Genomic DNA, 26,489 nt, shown 5'->3' on the forward strand with positions numbered 1-26,489 from the left:
AGTGGTTCTCAGACTTGAGCACACAACAAAATCACCTGGAGGGTTTGTTAAAACAGAATGCTGGGCCTCACCCATCCCCAGACTTCTGAGGCTGCTGGTCCTGGGACCACACTTTGAGAACCACTGTCTTGGAGAATGGTGGGGAAGCAGAAGTGGAACAGAGATTGTGCTCTATTTTAATGTTTGAGAACTAAAAGGTAATGAAAGTCGCCACTGGAGAAGAGGAAGATGATCTGCACTTCAAGTCCTAAAGGCTTTGCAGAGCATCAAGTTCATTCCATTTAGTACATGTACTCAGAAAGGGGATTTGAGCCACTGTACGTTAGTGATGGCTTTTTTCTTTCGGGCAGGAGCTTTGAGCCTTGTTAGGCTCACCCACTGGAGACAGCAAATCACTGTACGGGACTGTATGCTTGGGAAGATCTTTTCTTCTGAGTCTTGGTTATTGGCACATACTCTGCCTTGTTTCTGATACATCTGCATATTTTTTACCACTCCTACAAAATGGTCCCCTCTGCATCATGCCTAATACTATTCCCTTTGATAGGAAAAAAAAAAAAAGGCAGTGCTTCTATTTTATCATTTAAATTAAATGCCTTCTAAAAATTCAGATGTGGAGCTCAGAGAGGCTGAGCTGAGGAGACAGAAGAAGGGAAAGACAAGCCAGAGAGAGTACACAGAGGAATCTCAGAGGAGGCGATGGGCAACCAGACACATGAGGAGTCGTTAATCTGGCAGACAATGAATGGCAAAAGGCAATTAGCTTGGCTGGGATTGTAGCAAGCCAATGAAGTATGCTGTATTGCAACTGAGGCTCTAGTGTAAGGGCAGGGTCATTGCTAGGGAGCTCAAAAGGAAGGCAAGATAAGGGAGGTTAGAGGCGAGAAAGCCACCTGGGGCTAGCACAGAGGGAAAGGAAAGTGCTAACGGTCTTCATGGATATTCATTACCCAGTGGAAGCGTCCAGGTGTGGCTGTGTACTTGCCAGGGCTCTGCACACTGTTATTCAGGACACAATCTTGAAAATGAACTAGGTGCTTCAGCTGTGTGCACACATACGTGCACACACACACACACACACACATGCACATGCACATACACAAATGCTCTCTTTAGACTGCTGCCTCTTCATCCACCTGTCTAGTCTGTGAGGTCCTAACGCGAGGTCCACATGCTAAACACTGGCGGAGTCATAACAGATACAGTTCTAAACTTCAGTTTATGGGCTCCCTTTCCTATCTTAAAGCATGCTTTTTTTTTCTGTTATGCCTCATTCACATGCGCGTTCTCACGTTCTGTTCCTTGCAGGTGCTCTACGGCCATACTAATGGATTCTTATCTGCCTGTATACATTCTCCAGACACACTCGTTTATTCACTTCACTAGAGTCATTCCCACATATTAAATACTACCTCTTGCTTCTAAAAAGCACTTCAAATCTCAAAGTTGCTTCTATTATAGCTCCTGTTCCTGCTGTCTGCAGGGCCCTCCTAGCTTTGCCATTATTCTAAAAAGGAAAATGTACCAATATTGGTTTGACTGAGTAAAGAGCCCAACCCAAAGCAGATTGTCCTACCGTGGGATGCAGGTTTGTGGCTGTGGTGTCCCCGCCTTCAAGATCATCCCATTTATCTGTCTTTGTTCCACTCCCTCTCTCTTCCTGCACAACACTGCAATCACACACATACTCCGTGTTGGGAAAAAAAAAAGGACAGCCTAATTTCCTGATGATTATGTTGTTACCTAGCAACAGCCAATCAGGGGCTGGGCTTTTTGCCTGCAGTATTTCATGCAAATAGTTTGGAGAAATTGCAGGGTAACCCAGGCTGCTTAGTCTGTCTTCTCAGGGGACACATTACAGAATAAACCAACCCAAAAGGGGACTATTGAAGCCAGGCACATGCTTCAGATAGCAGGCCATCTGATCCCTTCCCTTGTCCCCTCTATCCTGTACCCCCTTACAAAAGCATGAGAGTTCCACAGACAGACACTCAGGGAGGCCATAAACTTGAAAAGAAGCTCATTAGCAGCCATCATTTTCCCTGGATCTTTGTTAGTTATCACTGATAACTGGCGCCCAGAGCAACCTCGAATACTCTGAAAACCCTACCTTCCTAGGAAGGCAAAGAATGCATGCTGCATGCTCAGTAGTTGTCTGGGAGGATGCGATAGAGAATCCTCAGCCCTCCTGTTTAGAAAGGAGCTAAGCCTGGCACTTCTACCCTGATTTAGAAGCCTCATCTGTGCCCATGCTGGCCTCAAGTGCATTCTTCCTGGTGCTGACTGGAAAATCCTCATTTAAATGGTTGAACAAAACAATGAGAGAAGCCACATCACTTATAAGACCTTTTCAAGAGGTTTTTTTTTTTTTTTTTTTCTTCCAACAAGTACTGAGCATTTGATGTAAATCTTGTCAGGAGCCACACACACCAACTTTCTGTGCTCAGGGACCAGTGCAGTCTGTGTGGACCAGAACCATATGAAGTGGACTCAGGAGATAGTCTCCAAGCCTGTCTCCTCAGAGTGAGCAGGCTAGGCTTCAGAAGGTAGGTTGATTTTGCTGTCATTGTTGTTATTGACTTGATGCTCAGTAATCCAGAGCCAATGAAGGCAAGAATAAACTCTACCCAGCAGTCTTGCAAAGATGTGTTGTGGGTTACATGGGGACAACGAAGAGATGGATCAGCCCACATCACCATCAGGAATGGAAAACCAATTCAAAATCCCTATCCTACTGATTTGGAGTTTTACATACTTGTAAGACAAGAGGTAATTATACTCGAATCATTAAAGGAAGTGGTGACAGCTCTCCAACCTCTGACATTCACAGCCTCACATCCAGAGCCATATTATAGAACCAAAGAAAAGAACTGTCAATCTGCCTTTGTTCAGAAAGGCAGAGTTAAGGAATCTCATGTATCCTGGGGGTTGGGGAGGGCAATGGATAACTCTATTTCCACTCCTGTCCTATAATAAATTTCAGAAAATTTTTGAGTCAGGCACTTTTATCCTCATAGCCTTGGAATACATAACAGAAACCATATTTTACAGAAAAGGACACTGATGAGTAACTTGCTCAAACTTATACAGTTACAAAGTGGCAAAACTGGGATTAAAAAGCAGATCTTTTGACTCAAGTGAACTCTGATGTCCAAATAATCCAAGAACACCATCAAGTCTTTATAGCAGCAAAAGAAAAAAAAAAGTAAAGGAAAAAGGGGAACAGCAACAGAAAGCCAGTTTTCAAAGTAAAAAAAAAGTCAACTTTTTGCACTTATCATAGGCACCAAAAGGTCTTTAAACTAAAGTTAAATGTTAAACCTTCAGTGACTCTCTCCTCCAGCTGCAAATCAGAACCACAGCAGTGCATGCTGGAAACACCAATGCCTGGGCCCCACTCCTGATCAACTAATTAACTAAGAATTTTTTGGTAGGGGGAGCAGAGAGGCAATGTTTTTATTTTATTATTATTCTTTTGAGACAAGGTCTTATTCTGTCACCCAGGCTGGAGTACAGTGGTACAACTGTGGTACAATTATGGCTTACTGCAGCCTGGAACTCCTAGGCTCAAGTGATTCTCTTGCCTCAGCCTCCGAAGCACAGGCACACACCACTGCACCTGGCTAATTTTTTATTTTTTATTTTGTAGAGATGGCGTCTTGCTTTCCTGCCCAGGCTGGTCTCGAACTACTGGGTTCAAGTGATCCTTCTGCCTTGGCCTCCCGAAGTGTTGGGATTACAGGCATGAGCCATCACGCCCAGCCAAAACAGCGTTTTTAAAGCACTTCCCAGGAATAGCACAACCACTTTGGAAATCAGTCTGCCAATTTCTTATAAAACTAAACATTCATCTACCCTATAACCCAGAAATTCCATCCTTAGGAATTCACTCAAGCAAAATGAAAACATATGTTCATAAAAAGTCTTGTACAAATACGTTCATAGCAGCTTCATTCATAATAGCCCCCAAACCTGTGGTATATCCACACAATGGAATGCTATTCATCAATAAAGAGAAACAAAATATTAATATGTGCAACAACATGGATGAATTTAAAAAATACTATGCTGAATAAAAGAAGCCTTATACAAGGGTACATACTACATGGTTCTATTTATATGGAGTTCTTAGAATAAAGTTAATCTATGATAGAAAAAAATCAGAGCAGTGGTTGCCTCTGTGGGGTACGGGGTGGGGAATGGCTGGGAAGGGGGAAGAGGGAATTTCTGGGGTGATGTTGATAGGGATTTGTACTATATCAATGCATGCCTCTGTCAAAATTTACAGAATAGTGTTTTTCAAATTTGTGCATTTTGTTGTATATACATTTTACCTTAAGATAAAAATAAATAAATAAATAAATAAATAAATATTGAACTCTAGTTAATGCTATACATACTGAAGTGTTTAGGACTGAAGTATCCTGATGCCTGCAATTTATTGTGAAATGCATTAAGAAAAGATGAACTGATGATGGATGGGGGATGGACAGTTGGACAGATATGTGATAAGGCAAGTATGGTAAAATGTTAATTGTAGAATCTGGATAGGATACATGTGACATTCACTGTATACTTATTTCAACTTTTTGGTATGTTCAGAACTTTTCATAAGAAAATTTGGGGACAAATTACCCAGGCGATTCCAATGAGCAGACATTGGGGTAAAAGACAAATTTCAATTATCTTAGTTGAAAAGTGTGAAATGAATACTATAGGGTCCCTAAATCTCCAGAGATGATGGCAATCACACCTCTCCCCTCTCCTCCAAAATATCTGAAACATTGGAATAAATGTCCAGATTGAAACAAGACTTCCTAGTATTAGACTAAATCATACAAAAACACTGTGGCCTACTTATCACTGGACTTATGTAGGACACGTCATTTAACATATGGCCTCATGGGACAAAATATTTGAAATTAGGACAGTCGTGGAAATTTTGGGCAATATGGTATCTATAATGCTTTAGAATTAAAAAACCTTAAGCCAACCTCAGTAGGTGTGACAGTAAAGTACGAATTCACCACTCAGTCTATGGCTTAAGAGCCTCTATTCAGCCCCTGCTTCTCCTCCAGGGTTTGTATCCCTAGTCTTCTCAGAGCCTGCTGTTTTCTATAGCTCCATTTCCCCATGGTGGGCCACAAATCCACAGGGTTAATGCAGGATCAGGTATTTGGAGAGGGAGAAGCTGGCACGTGGTACCTCAAAGGACCTGAATGGACAGTTGATTTTAACGGGGTGGGGAAGGGTGAGGGGAGGGGTAAAAGGGGAAATAATGCAGTCAAGTGCAATCTGGGGCCCTTATTCCCTGAGCTGCCCCATTTATTCTGCATAATTGCTTCATTTCCACTGCCAGTGCATCTCAGAATGAATTTCATTACCATTGCCTTGGATATCATATTGATTACCAGTTTCATCGATCCCTATCTTGCTAATTAGCATATAAATTAGCCATTTGGGGGAGGCATTAGGCAAAATTGAATTTTCTCCTTAATCTTCTTTCAGAAGGTAAATGAAAATGGATGTGGCCTGTTAAAGCCCATGGCCTTCCTCTGACACAATCTAAGTGCTGTTCACAGCCAAGGAACCCTCTGGTATGGGGAGAGAGTGGCTTGTGGAAGGCGGCTTCCTGCCCCGTAACTGATAAGAGCTGCGGTCAGAATCCTTGAAGAGTTTTCACAAAAATTTGAGGTAGAGGCTTTGCAAGCTGAGATGCATTTCTTTGGAGGAGACACTCTGAGCTGACGGACAGCAGCGTCCTCCTCCCACACAGACACAAGAGGAGGCCCCTTGGTACAGCACTTCCTATGGTGTTCACTTTCAAGGCTGAAATGGAGAATGCCACTCGCTCTTTGGTTTAGTGTTAACACGAGGAGTCTGGAATCAGATGGTCTGTGGGAAGGCCTGCTCTGCCTCTTACCAGCTGTGTAATATTGAGCACATTCACCTCTCTAAGCCTTAGTTTCCTCATCTGTGAAATGGGGATAATCACAACACCTACTTCACTGAGTAGCTGGGACAATGAGAGGAACCATATATTCAGAGCATTCAGCACAGGGTCTGGCAGCAGCACCATCACCAGGCACCAGAGGTCAAATAAAAATCTTAGGAAATTGAATGCCAGGGTTCTCCAGAGGGAGCTGCTCAGCTCTGAAGTAAACATTACCAGGTGCTTAGTCCCGGGAACAGGTCACAGGCCAGTAGTTGAGGGCCACTTCTTGAGTCTTTGGAGCATGTTGAAAATGCAGAATCTTGGGCCCCACCCCAGACCTGCTGAATCTGAATGAGCATTGCAACAAGATCCTCTGGGTCATTCACGTGCACATTAAAGCTTAAGAGGAATTGTTTTGAGCCATCCTCTTAATTATAATCTTACCCTGTTAGACAAGGAGGAGACTTCGCAGAAAGGTTAAGTAACTTGCTTACAGTCCATCCATGGCAGAGACCAGATGAGGCCTCGGTCTCCTGACTCTGAGACTGGTCCAGATTCAGCTGTGGCCCTCCTGAGTCTGTTCCTCTGGCAGCACGGCAGCTCTCTGCCCTCTTTGTTTGGGGTGGTCTCAGTGGGTGATTTTGGCTCTGCCTCAGGGTACATCCACCATGCACTTTGAAAGGAGATATTCCTTTGGAATATTGTTGGGGGTTATGAAGCCTGGTTACCAGGATGACCTCTGCAGAGAATACTGATGCGACAAAGGAAAATACCCTTGATGACCTCTGCAAATGCTTGCCTGCCCTTTGAACTCAAAATGCTTCAGATAAGGATACACAAGAAATCGCAGACAGTGATGCCTCCCGGGGAGTAGGGGGAGGCATGCTTTTCACCGTATACTCTTTTGAATCTTTTGGACTTTGTTCCCTGTGCATGTAAAAAAATACTTAAAAATTAATTGTTAAATAATATTACAAGAATGCCTCAGACAGATTGCAACTAAAAACAAGACCCCATCTGGCTCTGCCATTAGATCATCTAGCCCTGCTTATGATAGCACTGCTTTTTGCTTCTCTTTCCTCCTGAAACCTGAAACTGAAAAGCATTGTGGAAAGGCTCTAAGGCTTGAGTGCAGAGGTAGACTCTGGTCTTGCTTCAGCACTATCAGATTCCTCAGCAGGATGTGAAATGCTTTGCAACATTTTAAATGACATTAAGTAAGTGTAATTATGATTTAAACCCCACCTCTACCCCCAGTAAATCACAGCCAGAGGAAGGAGAGAACTTTTGTCTAATAGGCTTCCCCTAGATTTGGAATAACCAATCAAAATGGCACTAAGCTTGTTACAAATGTAATATGCATAATATAATCCCATTGTTAAGTACATGTTATTTAATGTATAGCTTAGCTGGGAGGATAGATACCAAATGTTAACAATGGCTGCTTTGGGTGATAGTGTTACTGCTGATTTTTATTTTCTCATTTATCCTTTTCTTTATTTTCCAAATGTCTATGTATCTTAAAGTATCTGGGCTTCAACATCACAGTATTCTTAGCACAAAACATAAGGGAAAAGATGCTCACTTCCCATCTGAACATTCATTCACAAGCTGGTAGTGCAGTTCTGCCCACATTGGTCCTCTGCATTGAAGTACCTGCTGAACGAGGGGCTGCAGGCATTCTTGGTTTCCCAAAGCTATATTCCAGTAGATACAGGGACTTTTTGGTAGTTTTCAGAGCTAGAAAGCACACACAGATGGGAGGCACTGGTTTCTAGGATGGCTTCACAACAGAGGGCACAGTTGGCTAAAGTCAATTCCTGACCCAGACATTGACCATGAAGTGTTCTTGGGGCAAGTCCAGTTGACCTCGATAGCCTCGCTGATTGTTGCTTGGAGGGTAGGTGAAAAAGACACGGTTTCTTTCTTCAGGCAGTCTGGGTCCAGAGTTCAAGGAGTTTTACAGTATTGGAAGAACAATGAAACTATATACAAGGCAAAATGTGAAAAATTCTACTACAGATGTACAAAGTGAACAGTAGAACAAAACAGTGTGTGGGGTTGGGGTATTCAGGCCTGAATAGGATCCACCTCTGTCCTGCATTATGAGTGTGACTAGGACAAGGTGCTATGCTACACTGAGTCACTGTTTCCTTGTCTTTAAAGCAGAAAGAACAATCCTTGAAGGGACCCTACAAGGAATAAAGAGGATGTGTGTAAGACTTCTAGAATAGTACTCACACACAGCAGGTACCCTACAAAAGGTGCTGGAAGTATTATTACTTTGGACACTGAGCTCACAAGGGCCACATTATAGTCACATTATCATTATCACTGCCCCCATTTGGAAAAAGTTCTAAAGAGCCGCCACAGATTTATAGATGAATGGATTCCAAAAAGCTCCAAGTTCTTGGCTCCACGTTTTCCTGTCAGATGCCATGTGAACAGGTCAATCTTCTTATTGGCTAAAATAGACTTAAGCATCTTGCCATTGGAGATGTGCCTAGAATAGAAGGAGCCTGCTTAGCCTCTGGACATGTTTTCTTGTTTTCCAGGCCTTCACATAACCTAATGTGTGGCTTATGTTTCAGGACCATGACTCAAATCCACTCTTTTGAAATTTCTATAGTAAGGCCCCTCCACCAGTCACTGAATTTGGCAGAGAAGCCCGGTGCTACTAGAGGGACAGGGAACAAGTGGAAATAAAGGAATAGAAGTTATAGTCCCTGACCCCAAGTGACTTTAGGTAGGAATGCTCAAGAGACTGGCGGGGGCAGGGTTGGGGGAGCTTTAAAATGTTTACAAAAAAAAATCAAGTGAATATAAGTAATTCAGTTATATCTAATTTCCATAGAAACTATGTTTCTGGAAATTGATAGGTCAGTATTTTTATTTATAAGGCACTAGGGACTCTTAGAAATCAGTAAGAGAGAGATATAACTTAGTAGAAAATAGGCAAAGGATATGAGCAAGTAGTTCATTATTATTTGTAAAAAAAAAAAGTGATAAACCTATAAAAGGATGTTTAATCTCATTCATATCTAAAGAGATGCAGGACAAACTAAGTATAAGATTGGTAAACATTTAGAAATTTAATAATACGGAGGGCTGATGTAAGGTGAGTAATATACTTCTTATACAATTGGTAAGAATATAATTTGGAATATCTGTTTTAGAGGGCAATTTGGCAATATTTTTAGCTGCATACTCTTTGACCCAACAATTCTGTTTATAGGAGTTTGCACTCAGGGATACACATCCCCCAAGTTATTTTAAGATCTATGTACAAGGATATTCACCACTGCATTGTTTGTCATAGCAAAAACCTGGAAACAAATCAAGTATTTATCAGTAGCGCAGTACTAGGAGTAATAATAGCAGCAAAGGCAAGAATGAAAACGCTAGCAGTTAACATTTATTAAGCACTTACTGTGTAGCAGCCAGGCTCTAATGCCTGACATGAATTATCTCATTTAATCTTCACACCAATTCCATGACATAGGCATTGCTACTTTGACCATATTATAAATGAGGAAAATGAGACTCACAGAGGTTAAGAAACTGTTCTAAAGTCACATAGAAGGTGTCAGAGAAGGATTCCGGGACAGGCAGTCTGGTTCCAGAACTCAAGCTCTTAACCACTATCACACACACACATTCACATCCACATCTATACATATGCACATAACTGAATACTCTGAAGCAGTTAAAATAGTATAGTAAGTACAAAAGCATTAAAGAGTAAGAATTGTACATGTTGACAGGAAAGATCTCTGAGATATATTATTAACTGAAAAGATCCATGTTGGAATAATGTGCTTCAGATAGCTGCCCTTTGTGTTAGTAAAAAAGGAGGTATGTCAACGCATCATCATCTCATTCTTGTCTACATTAAAAATAATAAATAAATAAATAAATAAAAGCATTAAAGGAATTGTCTGAAGGTTAACAGACTCCAGTACAATTATAAATCTTTTTGTAACATAAAAATTATATCCATCTTGGGCCAGGCATGGTGGCTCACGTCTGTAATCCTAGCACTTTGGGAGGCCGAGGTAGGCGAATCAAAAGGTCAGGAGATCCAAACCATCCTGGCTAACATGGTGAAACCCCGTCTCCACTAAAAATACAAAAAATTAGCCGGGTGTGGTGGCAGGCACCTGTAGTCCCAGCTACTCGGGAGGCTGAGGCAGGAGAATGGCGTGAACCCAGGAGGTGGAGCTTGCAGTGAGCCGAGATTGCACCACTGCACTCCAGCCTGGGCGACAGAGCCAGACTCCGTCTCAAAAAAAAAAGAGGCTTTATAAGTTAATTCTAAAATATATATGGAAATGCAAAAGACCAAGAATAGGCAGATCACTCCTAAAGAAGACAATGTGAGAATTGCCCTGATATCGAGCTCTACTAGTTAAGAAAGTTTGGCATTAGCACTATCTTTTGGATAGACCCTATTCTTGACCTCTAACTGTTAGCACCTCTTACCAACTCCGCATTTTAGTGATATCACATTGGAAGCTTGAAACTGGTCATTGCGGGAGTATTTATACCATGGAAATCAGCAAATACTACAAATCGGGACTTTTTGTGTATAGGAAAGGAGTGGGAAGAGCTAGTTGCTAAACATTTACCACTTAATGGAACCAAACAGAAGTTCCCAAAATAGACCCACACATTTATGAACACTTGCTATATGACAGATGGGTTTATCAGGTCAGTAGGGGAGGACTGGACATCTCATTAAACAGTATGGGAAAACCAGGCATCCACATAGAAAAATGAAATTGATCTCCCACCTCACAGCAAACCTCCCAAGTTAAAGTAAACTAAATATTTAAGAGGAATAGACAAAAATACAAGATTTTTAGGAGAAAATGTAGGACAAAATAATGACTTTACAGTAGGAAAGGATATTTTAAACAAGAAAAGACTGATACATTTGACTACATTAAAAGAAAAAATTTATGTTCGTCAAAGGCATAATAACAAGCCTTACACTGAGAAAAAATATTTCTATCACACATAACAAAAAGAGAATTTGCATCAAAAATATTTTAAAAATACCTATAACTCAAAAGTAAAAGACACAACAGAAAAATGGGCATCACACTTGAATTGAATTTTCTACATGGCCAATAGACATTTAAAAACTTCACTTTATTAATAATCAAGAAAATGCAAATTAAAACTACAATAGGATAAAATTTCATACTCATGAAATTGGCAACAATTCTAGAGACTGACAATATCAAACACTGGGGAGGATACAGAGCAATGGTTATGTTCACATGGAATGGGTAGGAGTAAAAAATGATTCAATCACTTTAGAAAACAGTTTGGTATTTCACAATAGAGTTGAACATACCCATATGATATGGCCTAGCAATTCTATTCTTATCTATACACCTATCTTAGAAAAACTCTTGCACATATTCATAAGGTGACATGATAATGATGTTCACGGTGGAATTGCTTTTTAAAGCAAAAAACCAAAAAACTGGAAATGACCCAAATACCAATCAAAAGCAGAATGTAAAAATACATTATGGCATGTTAATTCAATGGAATGCTATACAACAGTGAAAATGACATACAATCTCAGGTATCAACACAGACAAATCTCAAAAAGATAATGCTGAACAAAAGAAGCAAGACTCAGAATGAATACAGTATAATTCCATTTATACAGAGTTCAAAACCAGTTAAAACTAAAAAAGTATATTGTAAAAATAACAGTATATTGTTTAGGAAGTCACTCATATGTTGTAAAACTATAAAAGAAAAGCAAGGGAAAACTCTTTTTTTTGAGATGGATTCTTGCTCTGTGGCCCAGGCTGGAGTGCAGTGGCGCGATCTCGCCTCCTGGGTTCATGCCATTCTCCTGCCTCAGCCTCCCAAGTATCTGGGACTACAGGCGCCTGCCACCACGCCCGACTTTTTAAATTTTTTTTATTTTTTTATTTTTAGTAGACATGGGGTTTCACTGTGTTAGCCAGGATGGTCTTGATCTCCTGACCTCGTGATCCACCCACCTCAGGCTCCCAAAGTGCTGGGATTACAGGCGTGAGCCACTGCGCCCGGCCCACTTTTTTTTTTTTTTTTTTTTTTGAGATGGAGTCTCACCCTGTCGCCAGGCTGAAGTGCAGTGGTGCGATCTCGGCTCACTGCAACTTCCACCTCCCAGGTTCAAGAGATTCTCCTGCCTCAGCCTCCCGAGTAGCTGGGACTACAGCTACCCACCACCACGCCCAGGTAATTTTTGTATTTTTAGTAGAGACAGGGGTTCACCATGTTGGCCAGGATGGTCTCGATCTCTTGACCTCGTGATCCACCCGCCTCGGCCTCCCAAAATGCTGGGATTACAGGCGTGAGCCACTGCACCTGGCGGGAAAACTTATTACAACAGTTTAAGAGTGGTATATCTGGGCAGATGAAGAAGGTAGATGCAAACAGGGAGGAGCATATGGGTGTCTTCTAAAGTTCTGTTTCCTAAGTTGGGTTATGGATAAATGTTGTTCACTTTATTTTTCAAATACTACATATACATTATACTTTCTTCTGCATAATTATACATTTCATGGTAAAGAAAATGAAAAATCATATCAAATATCTACTCTACGGAAAGGTACTGTGGATGTTAAAATGACTCAGATTCCATCTCCACTCTGCTAAAATTACTTTCACTGAGGTCAGAGACTTCAATGTCACTAAAGGTAATAAACATTTTCAATTCTCATTTTCTTTGGTGTCTCAGCAGCATTCAACACTGCTGACCATTCTTTTCCTTGAAACAGTAAATACCCTTGGCTTTCATGAAACCATATTCTCCTGACCATTCCTTCTCAGTCTCCTTCAAAGGCTTGTCTCGTACCACCTAACCATTGAATATTGGAGCTCCTTAAGATACATCCATGAAACCCCATTTTTTCATATGCTGTTCTTTCTCTCTAGACACTCACATCTATGCCTATGGCTTCAATTACCATCCATACATCAAAGATTTAGATCTTCAGCTCAGACCTCTCCTCTGAGTGAAGTATCCCATTATCTTGTCAACACCTCTACTTGGATATTTCAAAATATCTAAATTTTAACCTGTTAAAATTGAAACTCATGATTTCCCTCCAAAACACTTCTTCTAATATTCCTTCTCAGTGAATGGCACTGCCAGTCATCCTTGACAATTTTACTTGATTAAAACAAATAGGCTTTTGTTTTTCCATCTATAGAATAAAATAACTCACTTTCTTTTCTTCCTAGGAAAAGGTTGAAAATGAGGAAAATAATTTTGGTGATGCCTGTAAGTTGAAATAAAATCTTTCAAAAAAAACCCCCACATCACCTGGTAATTTAGTTTTCCTACATAGAGGTAGCTTAATAAAGTTAGTTCCTTTCCTTCTAATTAAGAGTTTTTCCAAAACACAACAGCAATACTATCTAATTATTTTCCTCTCTTTTAACCCCTTTATGTATTTTCTTGTCTCTTCTTTCCACTTCCCTTTTGCACACAATAGGGTCTTAAATTGTTTCTGATTTTTCTTTATTTCTTGTTTCTACTTTTTTCCTTATTTCCCTCATGGCCTACCTCTCTGTGACTGAATCAGAAGATGGTACTTCAATCAACAAATATTTATCGAGCACTCTGGGATAGAGTGATGAGCAAGATAAAGATCCTACTCTGATGTGTTTTATGTCTGGAGTGGGGAGCAAACAATTATGAAGTAAATAGCATGAGCTAATTAAGGAATTAAAATTGAATGATATGAAGAATAACAGGTTGCTCTCTTAGATTGAGTGGTCAGGAAAGGCCTTTCTGAGGAGGTTATATTTAAATCTGAGACAAGGAGACAGTCATTGCATTACTTTGCATTAGTTGGTAATGAAGACCCTATGAGAGAAACAAACTTGGCATGTTTAATGGCTGCACAGTAGATGAGAGAGAAAACTGTATAAAATGAGATGAATGTATGAATTAGATGAGACAGGGCTTTGTTTACCCAGAGTAAGAAATTGGAGTTCATTTATTTAAAAAAGTATTCTTTATAATACCTCTAGGATCGGCAGTGATGTCTTCCTTTTCATTCCTGATTTTGGTTATCTGTCTTTCGTTTTTTCTCCTCAATCAGTCTTTATAAGGATTTGTAGTCTTTTTTTTTTTTTTCTTTTTTGGAGACAGAGTCTCGCTCTGTGTCGCCCAGGCTGGAATGCAGTGGCGCAATCTTGGCTCGCTGCAACCTCCACCTCCTGGGTTCAAGCAATTCTTGTGCCTCAGCCTCCCAAGTAGCTGGGACTGCAGGTATGTACCACCACGCCTGGCTAATTTTTGTATTTTTAGTAGAGACGGGGTTTCGTCATGTTGGCCAGGTAGGTCTTGAATTCCTAGCCTCAAGTGATCCACCCACCTCAGCTTCCCAAAGCGCTGGGATTACAGGCGTGAACCACTACACCCGGCAGCAGTCTTATCAGTCTTTAAAAAGAATCACCTTTTGGCTTTGTATATCCTCTCTATAAGTGTTTTCTATTTCATTAATTCCTGTTCTTGTCTTTATTATTTCTTTCCTTCTACCTTCTTCAGATTTAATTTGTTGTTTTTTCCCCTAACTTCTTTAGATGAATTTAAAGCCATAAATTTTCCTCTAAGCTCAGCTTTATTTACTGAAAAGTTTATATATAGTATTTTTCATTATCAGTCAGGAATATTTTCTAATTTCCACTGTGATGGATTATATATGTGTACTGCTTAATTTCCAAATATTGGTATTTCTAGTCATCTTTTTCTTATTGAATGCTAACAATACACTGTGGTCAGAGAGCATAATTATGTGTGGTTTTAATTCTATGAAATTGTTGACACTAGCTCTGTGATCCAGTATAGAGTCAACTTTTATAACTGTTCCTTCCATGTATGCTTGAAAATAATATTCTGCAGTTGTTAAGTACAGTGTTATATATATGTCCCTTAGTGAAATTTGACAATTGTGTTATTCAAATCTTACATATTCTTACTGGGGCTTTTTGTCTGCTTTTTATATCAAATGCTGAGAGAAGAATGTAAATATAAAACACCTTGATAATGAATTTGTCTTTTTCCTTAGAGTTGTGGAATTTTTGCTTTAAGTATTTTGAGGTCATTTTATTTGATGAATAAAAATTTAATATTCTTAGATTTTCCTGGTAAATGGACATTTATTATTTTGAAGTAATCCCTTTTATTTCTAGAAGTATTTTCTGACTCATTATAATTTTGTCTATAATTAACATAGCAATTGGGCTTACTTTTGGTATATATTTTCTTTACTATCTTTTCATTTTTAACTTTCTGTTTACTTACATCAGGATTTCTCCAATCGTGATATTGGGGCCACGTAATTCCTTGTGTGTGTGTGGCGGGGGGTGCAGTTCTATGCACTGTAGTTTACAATGGCACTTCCCCAGGTTATGACAACCAAAAATAAGTCCAGACACTGTTAAATATCTTCTTGAGGGCAAAATCACCCACAGTTGAAAACTTACTGACATATTTTAGGTGTGTCTTCTGTAAACAGCAGAGAGTTATAGTATTATTTTATCCAGTATGACAATCTTTGTCTTTTAATGGGAACATTTAGTCCATTTACATTTGATGTAATAGAGGCAAACTCTGTTTTTGTTTGCCTCAAAATGCCTTTAATTTTCCTTCTGGGATACCCATCTGAGATAAATTTTCCTTCTGCCTGGGTCTACTTGTCAGAAGAATAAATTTATTAGGCTTCTTTAATCTGTGGATTGCTGTTTTTTATCAATTAAGGAAAATTCTCTGCTACCATCTCTTCCAATATCCTCTGTCCCAAAACTCTCTTTCCTTATCTTCTGGGACTTCCATAAGGGTATGTTAGTAGGTATTCTTATTCTGACCTGCATGTCTCTTACCCTATCTTGCATATGATCTATCATTTTCTCTTCTCTGCTACACTCTGGATGATTTCTTCAGACTCATCTTTCAGTTCTGACCTCAGCTGTATATGATCTACTGATTAATATGTTCACTGAGTTCATAATTTTGATGGTTATATTTTTCACTTTTGTAAGTTCTATTTAGTTTTAAAACAATCTGTTACAATACTTTTTATAGATTCCCTTCTTGCAGATATTTTCAAGCTCATTAAAAATCTCTTTATACATAGTCAGGATAGTTACTTTACAGTCTGTCTCATGATTGCAATTTCTGAAGTTTCTGTGGGACTCTGTTGTTTCTGCTGTTTACTACTCAGGGTATCTTGTTATTCTGTGAAAGTGTTATCTTTGACTGTTGGTCATTATACTAGAAAATAAATATTTTCAAGGTTAATAAATGTCCAAAGATAATGGCTCCATTCTCTAGAAATGATTTTTTTTTGATTCTGTCAAGCACCAGAAACCACTACTAGTATGGAACCATCCTAGTCTATCTATGTCAAAAGTTTGAGGTTCCCTGGACTACCTGAGTAACACAAACTTGAGCTGCTCCAGTAATGGTTTACTTCTAGTTCACTCTTACTTTGAAGGTGGAGCACTTGAGATTCCTGGATTAAACAGGGAGGTGGTTTATCAGATTTCTTACCCTGGGCAGGCTCTCAGCTTTGATTCCTGTCTTCCTTCCCCTATAAGACTACCAAAAACTCAGCCTGACTACACAGATATTTCATTCAGACTAGTAAATGCCTTCAGAGAGAGAGGTATTTTTAAAATTCATTATTCTAAGAGATAGTATTTTTATTTAAAAACAATTGCAGCAAATTTACATACCTAATAATCTTAACACTTTAAAAAAATGGTACAATCAATGTGTTTCATAGAAATAGATGAAGTTAAAAACAATGAAGTAGTCATCAGGTTAGCTTTCTCAGGAGCTGGCATTCCTGATACCTGTGGTCAGGTTTCTGGCCTGTCCCTGATCATGTGGGTCTAGAGCACAAACAAGGTGTGAGGGGGGAGAAAGAGGCTTTGAATGGTGAGTTTACCTCGTGGGTTCTTGTTTTACCCTAGATTTTGGCCCAAGCCTATTTTATTATTTTGTTACCTTTTTAGTACATGTAAGAAAATTTAAAAAATTTATTTCTCTCAGTTTTTTAAGTTGTCCTTGTCATCCTAATTATCTAGCTCGCCATTACTGGAAGTGAAAGTTTCTGGATTAAGTGTGATGGAAAGCTGGAGAGGGAGTGAATCAGTTAGTCTATTTTTGTCACATCACGTCAGAATCTGTTCACAAGCAAAAAGAATAACATATTTAAATCATCAACCAATAAGAAAATAGTTTGAATTGTATGAATTTATTTGCACTAGTTTGCTTCAAATGGAGCTGCACTAGTTTGCTTCACATGGATGTATGTTCTTTCTCCTGACTAGACAGTAAGCTCTTGAAGATTAGATACCCTTTCTGTTTTTAGTAGTTTTTTTGTTTTGTTTTTGTTTGTTTTTGTTTTGAGATGAAGTCTCGCTCTGTCACCCAGGCTGGAGTGCAGTGGGACGATCTCGGCTCACTGCAACCTCCGCCTCCCAGATTCAAGCGATTCTCTTGCCTCTGCTTCCTGAGTAGCTGGGACTACAGGCATGTGCCACCATAACCGGCTAATTTTTTTGTTTGTTTTTTTAGTAGAGACGGGGTTTCACCATGTTGGCCAGGCTGGTCTCGAACTCCTAACCTTGTGATCTGCCTGCCTCGGCCCCCCAAAGTGCTGGGATTACAGGCATGAGCCACCGCGCCTGGCCTGTTTTTAGTAGGTTTTAAGTATATCTCTCATCCTTTCTCTAGGACCTGGGACAAAAAGATAAAATGCCAGTCTTCTTGACTTCCTTGTTACCATCCCAGGGCTTGAGAGCCCCAGGAGAGAACCAGACTCTCAGGAATTCATCTCTTTCCCCATCTCCCACCTACTTGTTGTAGACCACTAGTTGAATACTGAGAACAATGAGAACTACTTTACATGAAGTTTGAGAACTTAATCAGAGTGCAAGAATATACAAGTAAGTAAATACAAATACAGAGTTTGATACTGTTCAATCATGAGTAGCTTAGAAGTCAAATTTTCTCATATACTCACTGCTGAAAGACATATAAATTGGGGTATATTTAAAAAATATACATCTAGAGCCATAGTATTTTACATAGGTTTTAACCCAGTAATTCCATGTTTATTAATTTATCTTTAAAATAATCCCAGGGGTTCACAAAGATTCAGCTACCTGAGTGGTCATTACAAGAGGGGAAATTGAAGATTTAAAATCCCATTGGTAAGGATTAGTAATTGTACTTTCATATAATAGAATATCATATTTAAGGACACAAAAAGGTTCATAGTAAGGTGATAAAATCAGTTTAAGAAAGAGTGTGTAACAAGATCTTTTTTTAAATAAGAAAATGTATGCACTCATAAATTTAAAAAACTAGAAGGATATAAAACAAAACATTAACAGCATTACTTCGGGGTGCTAGGATAACAGGTTTTTTCTTGACTATGCTTATTCCTCTCCCCCAAATCTTCTATAATGAAAATATATACTTTTGTAATAAAAATAACATTCATTATTAAAAAATAAACTAGAGTTCCCATATCTAATAGGCCACCTCAGACCAGCCCTTTCCAGGCCCAATCTATCTATCACTGGTTGGCAGAGAAGTCCACATTCTTCCAATTCTATAGTCTGTCCCACTTGGTCCATACATAGGTTTTTAGCCACCAGAAGAGTAACATTCATCCATCATTGGATAGGTGTCTCATAATATATATTTGGTGAACTGAACTGATTGCAGAGAGACAGAAATTTATTCACATAATGCTAACAGAATGTCACATACTTAAAACGTGATAGTTTTCTACCATTTTAAACTATCCTTATAGGCATTATATTATCTCTCACACTCAAACTAAATAAAAATATTTTGAAGAATACCCAAAGGGGAAACTATTACTATAATGACCTCATGTATTTTCTCTGGAAGGTCTGTTTGTTGAATATTTAGTAGTTTTGTATAGTGCCGGTCAATAAGGCTTAATTGCCTCTGCTGCTGAATTGCTTGTCACATGGAGAGAATCAAACCTGCCCCCACTCCTTTATGGAAAAAATGAATGCCTGGAATGAGCTGGAATTTCCAGGAAAAACATACCAGTTCAATTTGTATTAATCCCTGTGGGATTACTGCACTGATGTCATTTTTAATATGCCTTACTCTTCCCCTCTGGTTGGCATGATCCATCATCTCTTTCCTCAGCTGGCTTTGCTGCTTTTCCTTGGAGAGCAGATTGTCTTTGTGAATGACTCTCTCAGGGAGCATGTGCAGGAGAAGCCAGAGCCTCACTCCATGGGAACGTAACAGACAGAGCTAAAGAATGGGCTAAGAACAGCCGCTGAATGGAACAGGTCATGCTGCTTCTCGAAGCTGAAAAGGCCAATCCTGTAAAAGAGTTGATGAGAGCACCTAATCGGGTTTGACCCCACAGCCTGTGTGTATGCAGAAAGGACTGGGAAATGTAGCTTTGCAAATGAGAAGGGTAGCGATATTCCAGGGCTGCTATCCAGACACACTTACTCACTCATCTGCTTGATTCAATTTTATTTGTACAAAGGGTTTGTTGAGGCAATGGGCAGACTAAGCCTTTAGGGATCAAGGGCTATGCAAATAAAACCTTAATGGAAGATTAAATCAGCTGATGTCCTCCTCAGTGCTATTTCCATTTGTAGGACTGGAACTGGCATTGGGGGAATGAATCATTTTTACTACATTTAAGCATTGATTTTAAAATACCTTCTTTACAAAAATAGTAGCCATTATAATTAAACAGGACTGGAAATACTCAGTAACAAACAACAAAAACCTTCCTTTATATAAAGAGAACAAACATCATATTATGGTCACAGTTAAATAGCAAGCATGATAAATCAAGGCACTAACTATGGGGGTCCTTGTTTTGTTTATCACCCAATGAAGAACCAAGTCTTTCTTCACCTGGAGACTTCCATTTATTATGATTACTAGTGCAAAATAATTTCTAAATATGGAATGAATTACATTTCGATAATTATATGTCTTATTTAGCCAGCCAGCTTCATTACCCAATATATTCATTTCTTTAAAAAGGAAGTTCTCAAAAGAATTAAAATTATTTTTCTGTGAATTATGGGAGAAATAAATAATCTGAAAGCTAGTATAAATATGATATTCTCCTTGTACTGGTTTATATTTCACTAAAATATACTTAAATCACTAATCAAGAAATCTCAATATAATCATTTGTTCTCTCCCAGAAGAAATATTGCTGTTGATTATTATATCATTAACATTTAGTCTTTAAATTGAGAGACAACTAGAGAATAAACCTAGAGATTCTAAACTACCTTAAGATACTGCTAGTTCCCCAAAAATGCACAGAGAAACATACTGGAACATCTCTGTTTTTTGTTGTTGTTGTTGTTGTTGTTATATTAAGGCAAAGTTTAACATAAAAAAATCTAGCAATGTAAATCAGCATATTAATAAAGAAAGTGATCATATGATCATCTTTTAGTTTTATTTTTTTATTTTTTTGAGACGGAGTCTTGCTCTGTCACCAGGCTGGAGTGCAGTGGCATGATCTCGGCTCACTGTGACTTCTGCCTTCTGGGTTCCAGCAATTCCCCTGCCTCAGCCTCCCGAGTAGCTGGGACTAGAGGTGCGCGCCACCACGCCCAGCTAATTTTTTGTATTTTAGGAGAGGTGGGGTTTCACCATGTTGGCCAGGATGGTCTCCATCTCCTGTCCTCATGATCTGCCTGCCTCGGCCTCCCAAAGTGCTGGGATTACAGGCATGAGCCATTCGCACCGGGCCTGATCATCTTTATAGACAAAGGAAAATCATTTGACAAAATTCAATACTCAACCATCATAACAATTCACAACAAACCAGGATAGAAGAAAACTTCCTCAATCTCTTAAAGGATATCTAACAAAAACCTACAGCTAACATCATATTTATTAAGGGAAAGATTGAATGCTTTCCCCCTAAGATTGAGAATGGCCATTCAATTGTCTATTCAATATCATACTGGAGGTACTAGGAAGTGCAATAAGGCAGGTAAAAAAAGGTTTAAAGATTAGAAAGGAAGAAGTAAAACTGTATTTGCAAACAACATAATTGTGTTTGTAAAAAATCCTAAGGAATCCACAAAAAATCTGCTAGAACTAAAGTAAATTGATCGAGGTCACAAGATACATTAACACAGACAGGTTAAGTAACTCGACCAGGGTTACAATTATAATTAGTAACTGGAAGAGCCAGAATTCTAGTTAGATTGGCCCTGGAGCCTTTCTCTTAACTATTAATTATATGATAACTTAAAAATCAAAGTGTTACTGTACAAATACACACACACGTGCGTGCGCGTGCATTCAAACACTAAACATCACTTTTCCTTTTCTATTCAATTACCACCAGCTTTACCCTAAACTTTGGTGAAGAGGAATAAATAAACAATACCTGAATCTTGAATCCTCATTCTGTATATAGAAAGCATGATCACTGATTGCCCTAATAAAACCAAAGTTATAGATTTAATCCTTGCACAGGCCAGCACATTTCACACTGAAAAAACCCCTCACTAATACAGTGCCAGATATATGTACCCTATCTAGCCCCTACCCTAATAAGTGGCAAATTCTCAAGTTCGGTGCAACTTATCTCTAATACTAGAAAACAAAACTTGAAAGAGTATTGATGATGCATCAGGAGCATAAATCTTGTAATTGAAGGATAGCATGGTTATTGAAAAATTCAGAAACAGAATTAAAAGCTTGACATAGATTTCAAAAGTAAGGCACTAATGCCCAATTAGTCACAAGCCAAAGTAAAGGCTGGCAGCATTTTTGTCTTTATAGGAAACTCAGGGTTATCATCAGGGACCTTACATATGGACTTGTTTTTTTTTTGTTTGTTTGTTTTTGTTTGTTTGTTTTGAGATGGAGTCTCGCTCTTGTCACCCAGGCTGGAGTGCAGTGGCACAATCTCAGCTCACTGCAGCCTCTGCCTCCAGGGTTCAAGTGATTCTCCTGCCTCAGCCTCCCAAGTAGCTGGGATTATAGGCATGTGCCACCACACTTGGCTAATTTTTGTATTTTTGGTAGAAATGGGGTTTTACCACATTGGCCAGGCTGGTCTCGAACTCCTGACCTCAGATGATCCCCCCGCCTCGGCCTCCCAAAGTGCTGGGATTACAGGTGTGAGCCACTGTGCCCGGCCTGGACTTTTAAGTAGTTATAACCAAGGTTGTCTGTACCACGACAACAGAAATAATTGGATAACTACTGTTGCTAAATTGACAAGCATTTATTAGGGCTACTATCTAACACTGAAGTATTGAAATATAGCCAGTCCACTGACACTGGATACTGACATATAGGCAGAGAGAAATGACAACAGGAGCCTGAGGTGGCTTCCTCATGATGAATGAAATAAAGGAGACCGCAGGCAAAGTGGCTGGTGCAGGAGATTATTCAGGCCCAGCTAGTAAACAGTCACAGAAAAATCATTCAATGGCAACAATCTCAAAAGTGAAGCTCTTTATGAAGATTGTAAGTTTAAAAGACAGTTGCAAACACAGTCAGACTTTGCCAATAGTGACTACAACCTCAAACTAAAAGGCTTGTCTTTGAGCAGCAGGTGGTATGGTATTGGGGATGTATCAGTCTTTTTCAGTAAAACTGGCCTATATAGATAATAACAAAGTGTATTCACTGCTTTATTGTTGTTTTGATCCACTGTATGTAAACCATGAACTTCAAATTATTTTCCTAATGAAAAAAGCTGTAATTATCCATCAAACTCTGTCTTCGAATGCCTCCTGTGGCCCAGAGTACATGACTGCAAGATGGATGACCCAATGTTGTGTTTGTGGTCTACTGACAACTGAGTTATGGTGCTACTGAGGGTAATACAGCATGGCATTGTGAGAAACAGCATGGTATAATGGAAAAACTTGAACTCATCATTTAGTATCTCTAGATCTCAGCTTGTTCATTAAATCCCTTAAATGTATATCTAAAAACTGAGTTGGCAGGGCTGTTATGAAGATTAAAATGCCTGGCATATATAAGATACTAAATAAATAAGTGCCCATGCATCATGTTTACATATGTATTCTCTCTCTCTGTCACACACACACACACACACACACACACACACACACACACACAAGAAAGGTTAACAGTTGAGGTTGATTTATTGCCCCAAATAACCTGCCCCAGGATAGATTATTGTAATTAGCCTCACTTATTTTCAGTGTGGCCAGCAAGGACAGGGAGCAAAATCCTAATTCTGGGGTCAGACAGTCTGTAGTTAGTGGAGGCTTCTACAGTTTAAAAAGTTAGCATTTGTCAGATGTTCTCACTATTGTTTTGATCTTTATCTCAATGGTTCTGAATGTTTTATTCCTTGTTTGAATATTGGGATGTTTATCAAAGCAAACATTTAAACACTGAAGCCCACTGACAAAGAATTTAAATAGACAGTAGGGCAGTTAAAGGGTTTATAGCCAAGATTCAGTAACTGGTTACAGCTCTGTACAACCATGGATCTGCAGTAAATCACACTCTGGTCTGCCTTAGCCTTATTTTGAAATTCCTTTTCAACCCTCTGCCATTCTAATAGCAATGAATTACTCTCTAATTGTATGCTAGATAGCAAGGTGGGGAAGATCTAAATCTCCTAAATCCTGTTTTTAATTTATCACGTAGAATTTTGTTACTTTAAATGCAGATCTACTTTTTAACTATTCACAAGCCATATTTTAAATGACAGAATTTCTTTAAAGAAAGGAATCTACTAGTAGTCAATATGTAAGTTCTCTAAAAAATAAGTTTGAAACTTCTATTTAGAAGTTAAAGAAACAGGGACCAGATTTACTCTCCTGCCTTAAGCAACTAAAAAAATTGGACTAAATATAGAAAGAAATGGTTTTCATACATTGGCTGACAGGCAACACAGGCCTGTGATCGCTAAGAAAAGGGACACAAAGTGAGCCCTACGAGTGTACCAGTTTACTGCCTACAGACAGTTCCTGGATGCAGTACAGGGAGGGGGAATGGATCTCACCGAGTCGAGGTGACTGAGATTAGACATCCAGGAGGGCAAAGTGACTAGAATTTGTGGGACAGAGAACTGAAGATAGAACACTCTGGAGTTCTATCGACAGGCCTCCCTAGAGTCTTTGACTAAGCACTGGTCTGCACATGCATGATAGGAAACTACTCAAGACTACTGGAAGGGAGCAGGCAGAACCATTCCCAGAGTTCTTACAGGGCTGTAAATAGTTTGTGTTCACATCTATCTGAGCAGAAAGACCTTGTAATAGACAAGGAATTAGATACAACCCCCAGAAGAATATTGACAAAGTAGTGAGGGCTAAATTGGTTCTAGACCAACGGCTGCTCTGGACCCACCATAATAAAGCTTAGAAGCAACGTTTGAAAGGATCAAAGTAATCCTAGGTAACATAACTGCATCCAAAATAAAAGCCAACACTAATTAAAGAAATATAATGAAATTTAATCATCAAGAATATAAAGTTAACAATACCTAGTCCCCCATAAAAAATTACCAGGCATGCAAAGAAATGGGAAGATCAGACTTTTAGCCAGAAGAAAAAATAAATAAGTAAAAACGTATTCAGAAATGACATGGATGAAAGAACTAGCAAACAAGTATATTAAAATACTTTTACTAAATATGTTCCACATGTTCAAGAAGTGGAGGAAAACATGAACATGAGGACAAGAGAAAGGGAAAGTGTAAAAAAGACATAAATTAAACTTTTAGAGACTAAGAATACAACATCTGAAACCAAAAATAGACTGGATGAGATTAACAACAGATTGTAAACTTCAGAAGTAAAGATCAGTGAACTTGAAGACACAGAATTAGAAATTACCCAAAATGAGGCACAGAGACACAGGAGACTGAATACAAATGAACAGAGCATCAGTGACCTGTGGGACAATATCAAGCAATCTAATATTCATGAAATTGGAGCTCCAGAAGGAAAAGAGATGTGGGGAGGAAGGGAACATAAAAAAATATTTGAAGAAACCATAGCTAAAAGTTTTCCAAATTTGATGAAATCCATAAATCCAAGCATAATATACAGAAAGTGACTCCAAGGAACATCATAATAAAACTGCTGAAGTGATGAAAAGAAAACCTTAAAAGTAACCAGAGAAAAAAGACATTACAGCAACATAGATAAGAATTACAGCAGATTTCTGGCCAGGAGCGGTGGCTCACGCCTGTAATCCTAGCACTTTGGGAAGCTGAGGCGGGTGGATCACGAGGTCAGGAGATTGAGACCTTCCTGGCTAACACGGTGAAACCCCGTCTCTACTAAAAATACAAAAAAAAAAAAAAATTAGCCAGGCATGGTGGCAGGCACCTGTAGTCCCAGCTACTCGGGAGGCTGAGGCAGGAAAATGGCGTGAACCCAGGAGGCAGAGGTTGCAGTGAGCCGAGATCACGCCACTGCACTCCAGCCTGGGCAACAGAGTGAGATTCTGTCTCAAAAAAAAGAAAAAAAAAAAAAAAAAAAGAATTACAGCAGATTTCTTCTCATAAACTATGCAAGCCAGTAGGCAATGGATAGACATCTTTAAAGTCCTGGAAGAAACTATTAACCTAGAATTCTTTACCTAGTAAAAATATCTCTCAAAGGTAAAATAGAACTTTTCAGACAAACACTGAAATAAATAATTCCAGTATAACTGCACTATCAAAAATATTAAAGAAAGTTATTTAGTCTAAAGAAATTGATAAGAGAAACACAAAGGAATAAAAAGGACATCTGAAACAGTAAATAGGTGAGTAAATATAAAGGTCACGTTTCCTCATTTTTTACATATCTTTAAAAGATAATTGACTACTTAAAGTAATAATAAAACATGTTAAATAAAATACATGACAATAACTCAAAGGACCAGAAGGGAAAAATGGAAGTATATAGTTTTAATGTTTCTCTAATATATATAAAGTGATATATATTATTTGGAGATAGATAGGGATAAGTTAAAGACATATGTTATAAACAGGAGGACAAATACTAAGAAAAGATAAAACAAAGACACATAAGCAATAATGCAATAACAAGGACAATATGGGGTCAAGATTAAGAAACTCAAACAATCCAAAATGAGGCCAAAAAAAAGAGAAAAAAAGGAACAAAGAACAGATAGGACAAATAGAAAACAAACAGCAAGAATGTCAATTCAAGGCCAGCTATCCCGATAATTATAGTAAATGTAAATTGTTTACACATCCCAATTAAAAAGCAGAAATTTTTATATTGGATTAAAAACCAAAGATATGCTTTCTACAGAAACATACTTTAAAAATAAAGACATATATTGGCTAAAAGTAAAATGGTGGAAAAGATACACCATGCAAACAATAACCATAAGAAAGCTGCAATGATTATATCAATATCAGACAAAATAGACTGAGGAAGGAATATTGCCAGAAAAAAGAAGGTAATCTTATAATGATAAAGGGGCAGTTCATCAAGAGAACACACAATCCTAAATGTG

The 26,489-nt window shown here is 38.7% G+C and overlaps 1 protein-coding gene across 9 annotated transcripts in view; it reads right to left on the bottom strand.

Moving 5' to 3' along the window:
* Positions 1-26,489, bottom strand: part of PHC2 (polyhomeotic homolog 2) — a 107,470-nt gene that overhangs the window by 67,480 nt on the left and 13,501 nt on the right. For 2 of the 9 annotated variants that reach the window (NM_001385122.1, NM_001385120.1), the window contains exon 1: positions 1,577-1,680. The exons of the other annotated variants lie outside the window; for them this stretch is intronic. The gene's annotated coding sequence lies outside the window, so the exon portion shown is untranslated. Of the gene's footprint in view, positions 1-1,576; positions 1,681-26,489 lie in introns of those variants that run through there. 9 annotated transcript variants of the gene reach the window in all.

Source organism: Homo sapiens, chromosome 1 (assembly GCF_000001405.40).
Source record: "Homo sapiens chromosome 1, GRCh38.p14 Primary Assembly".
NCBI classification, from domain to species: domain Eukaryota; kingdom Metazoa; phylum Chordata; class Mammalia; order Primates; family Hominidae; genus Homo; species Homo sapiens.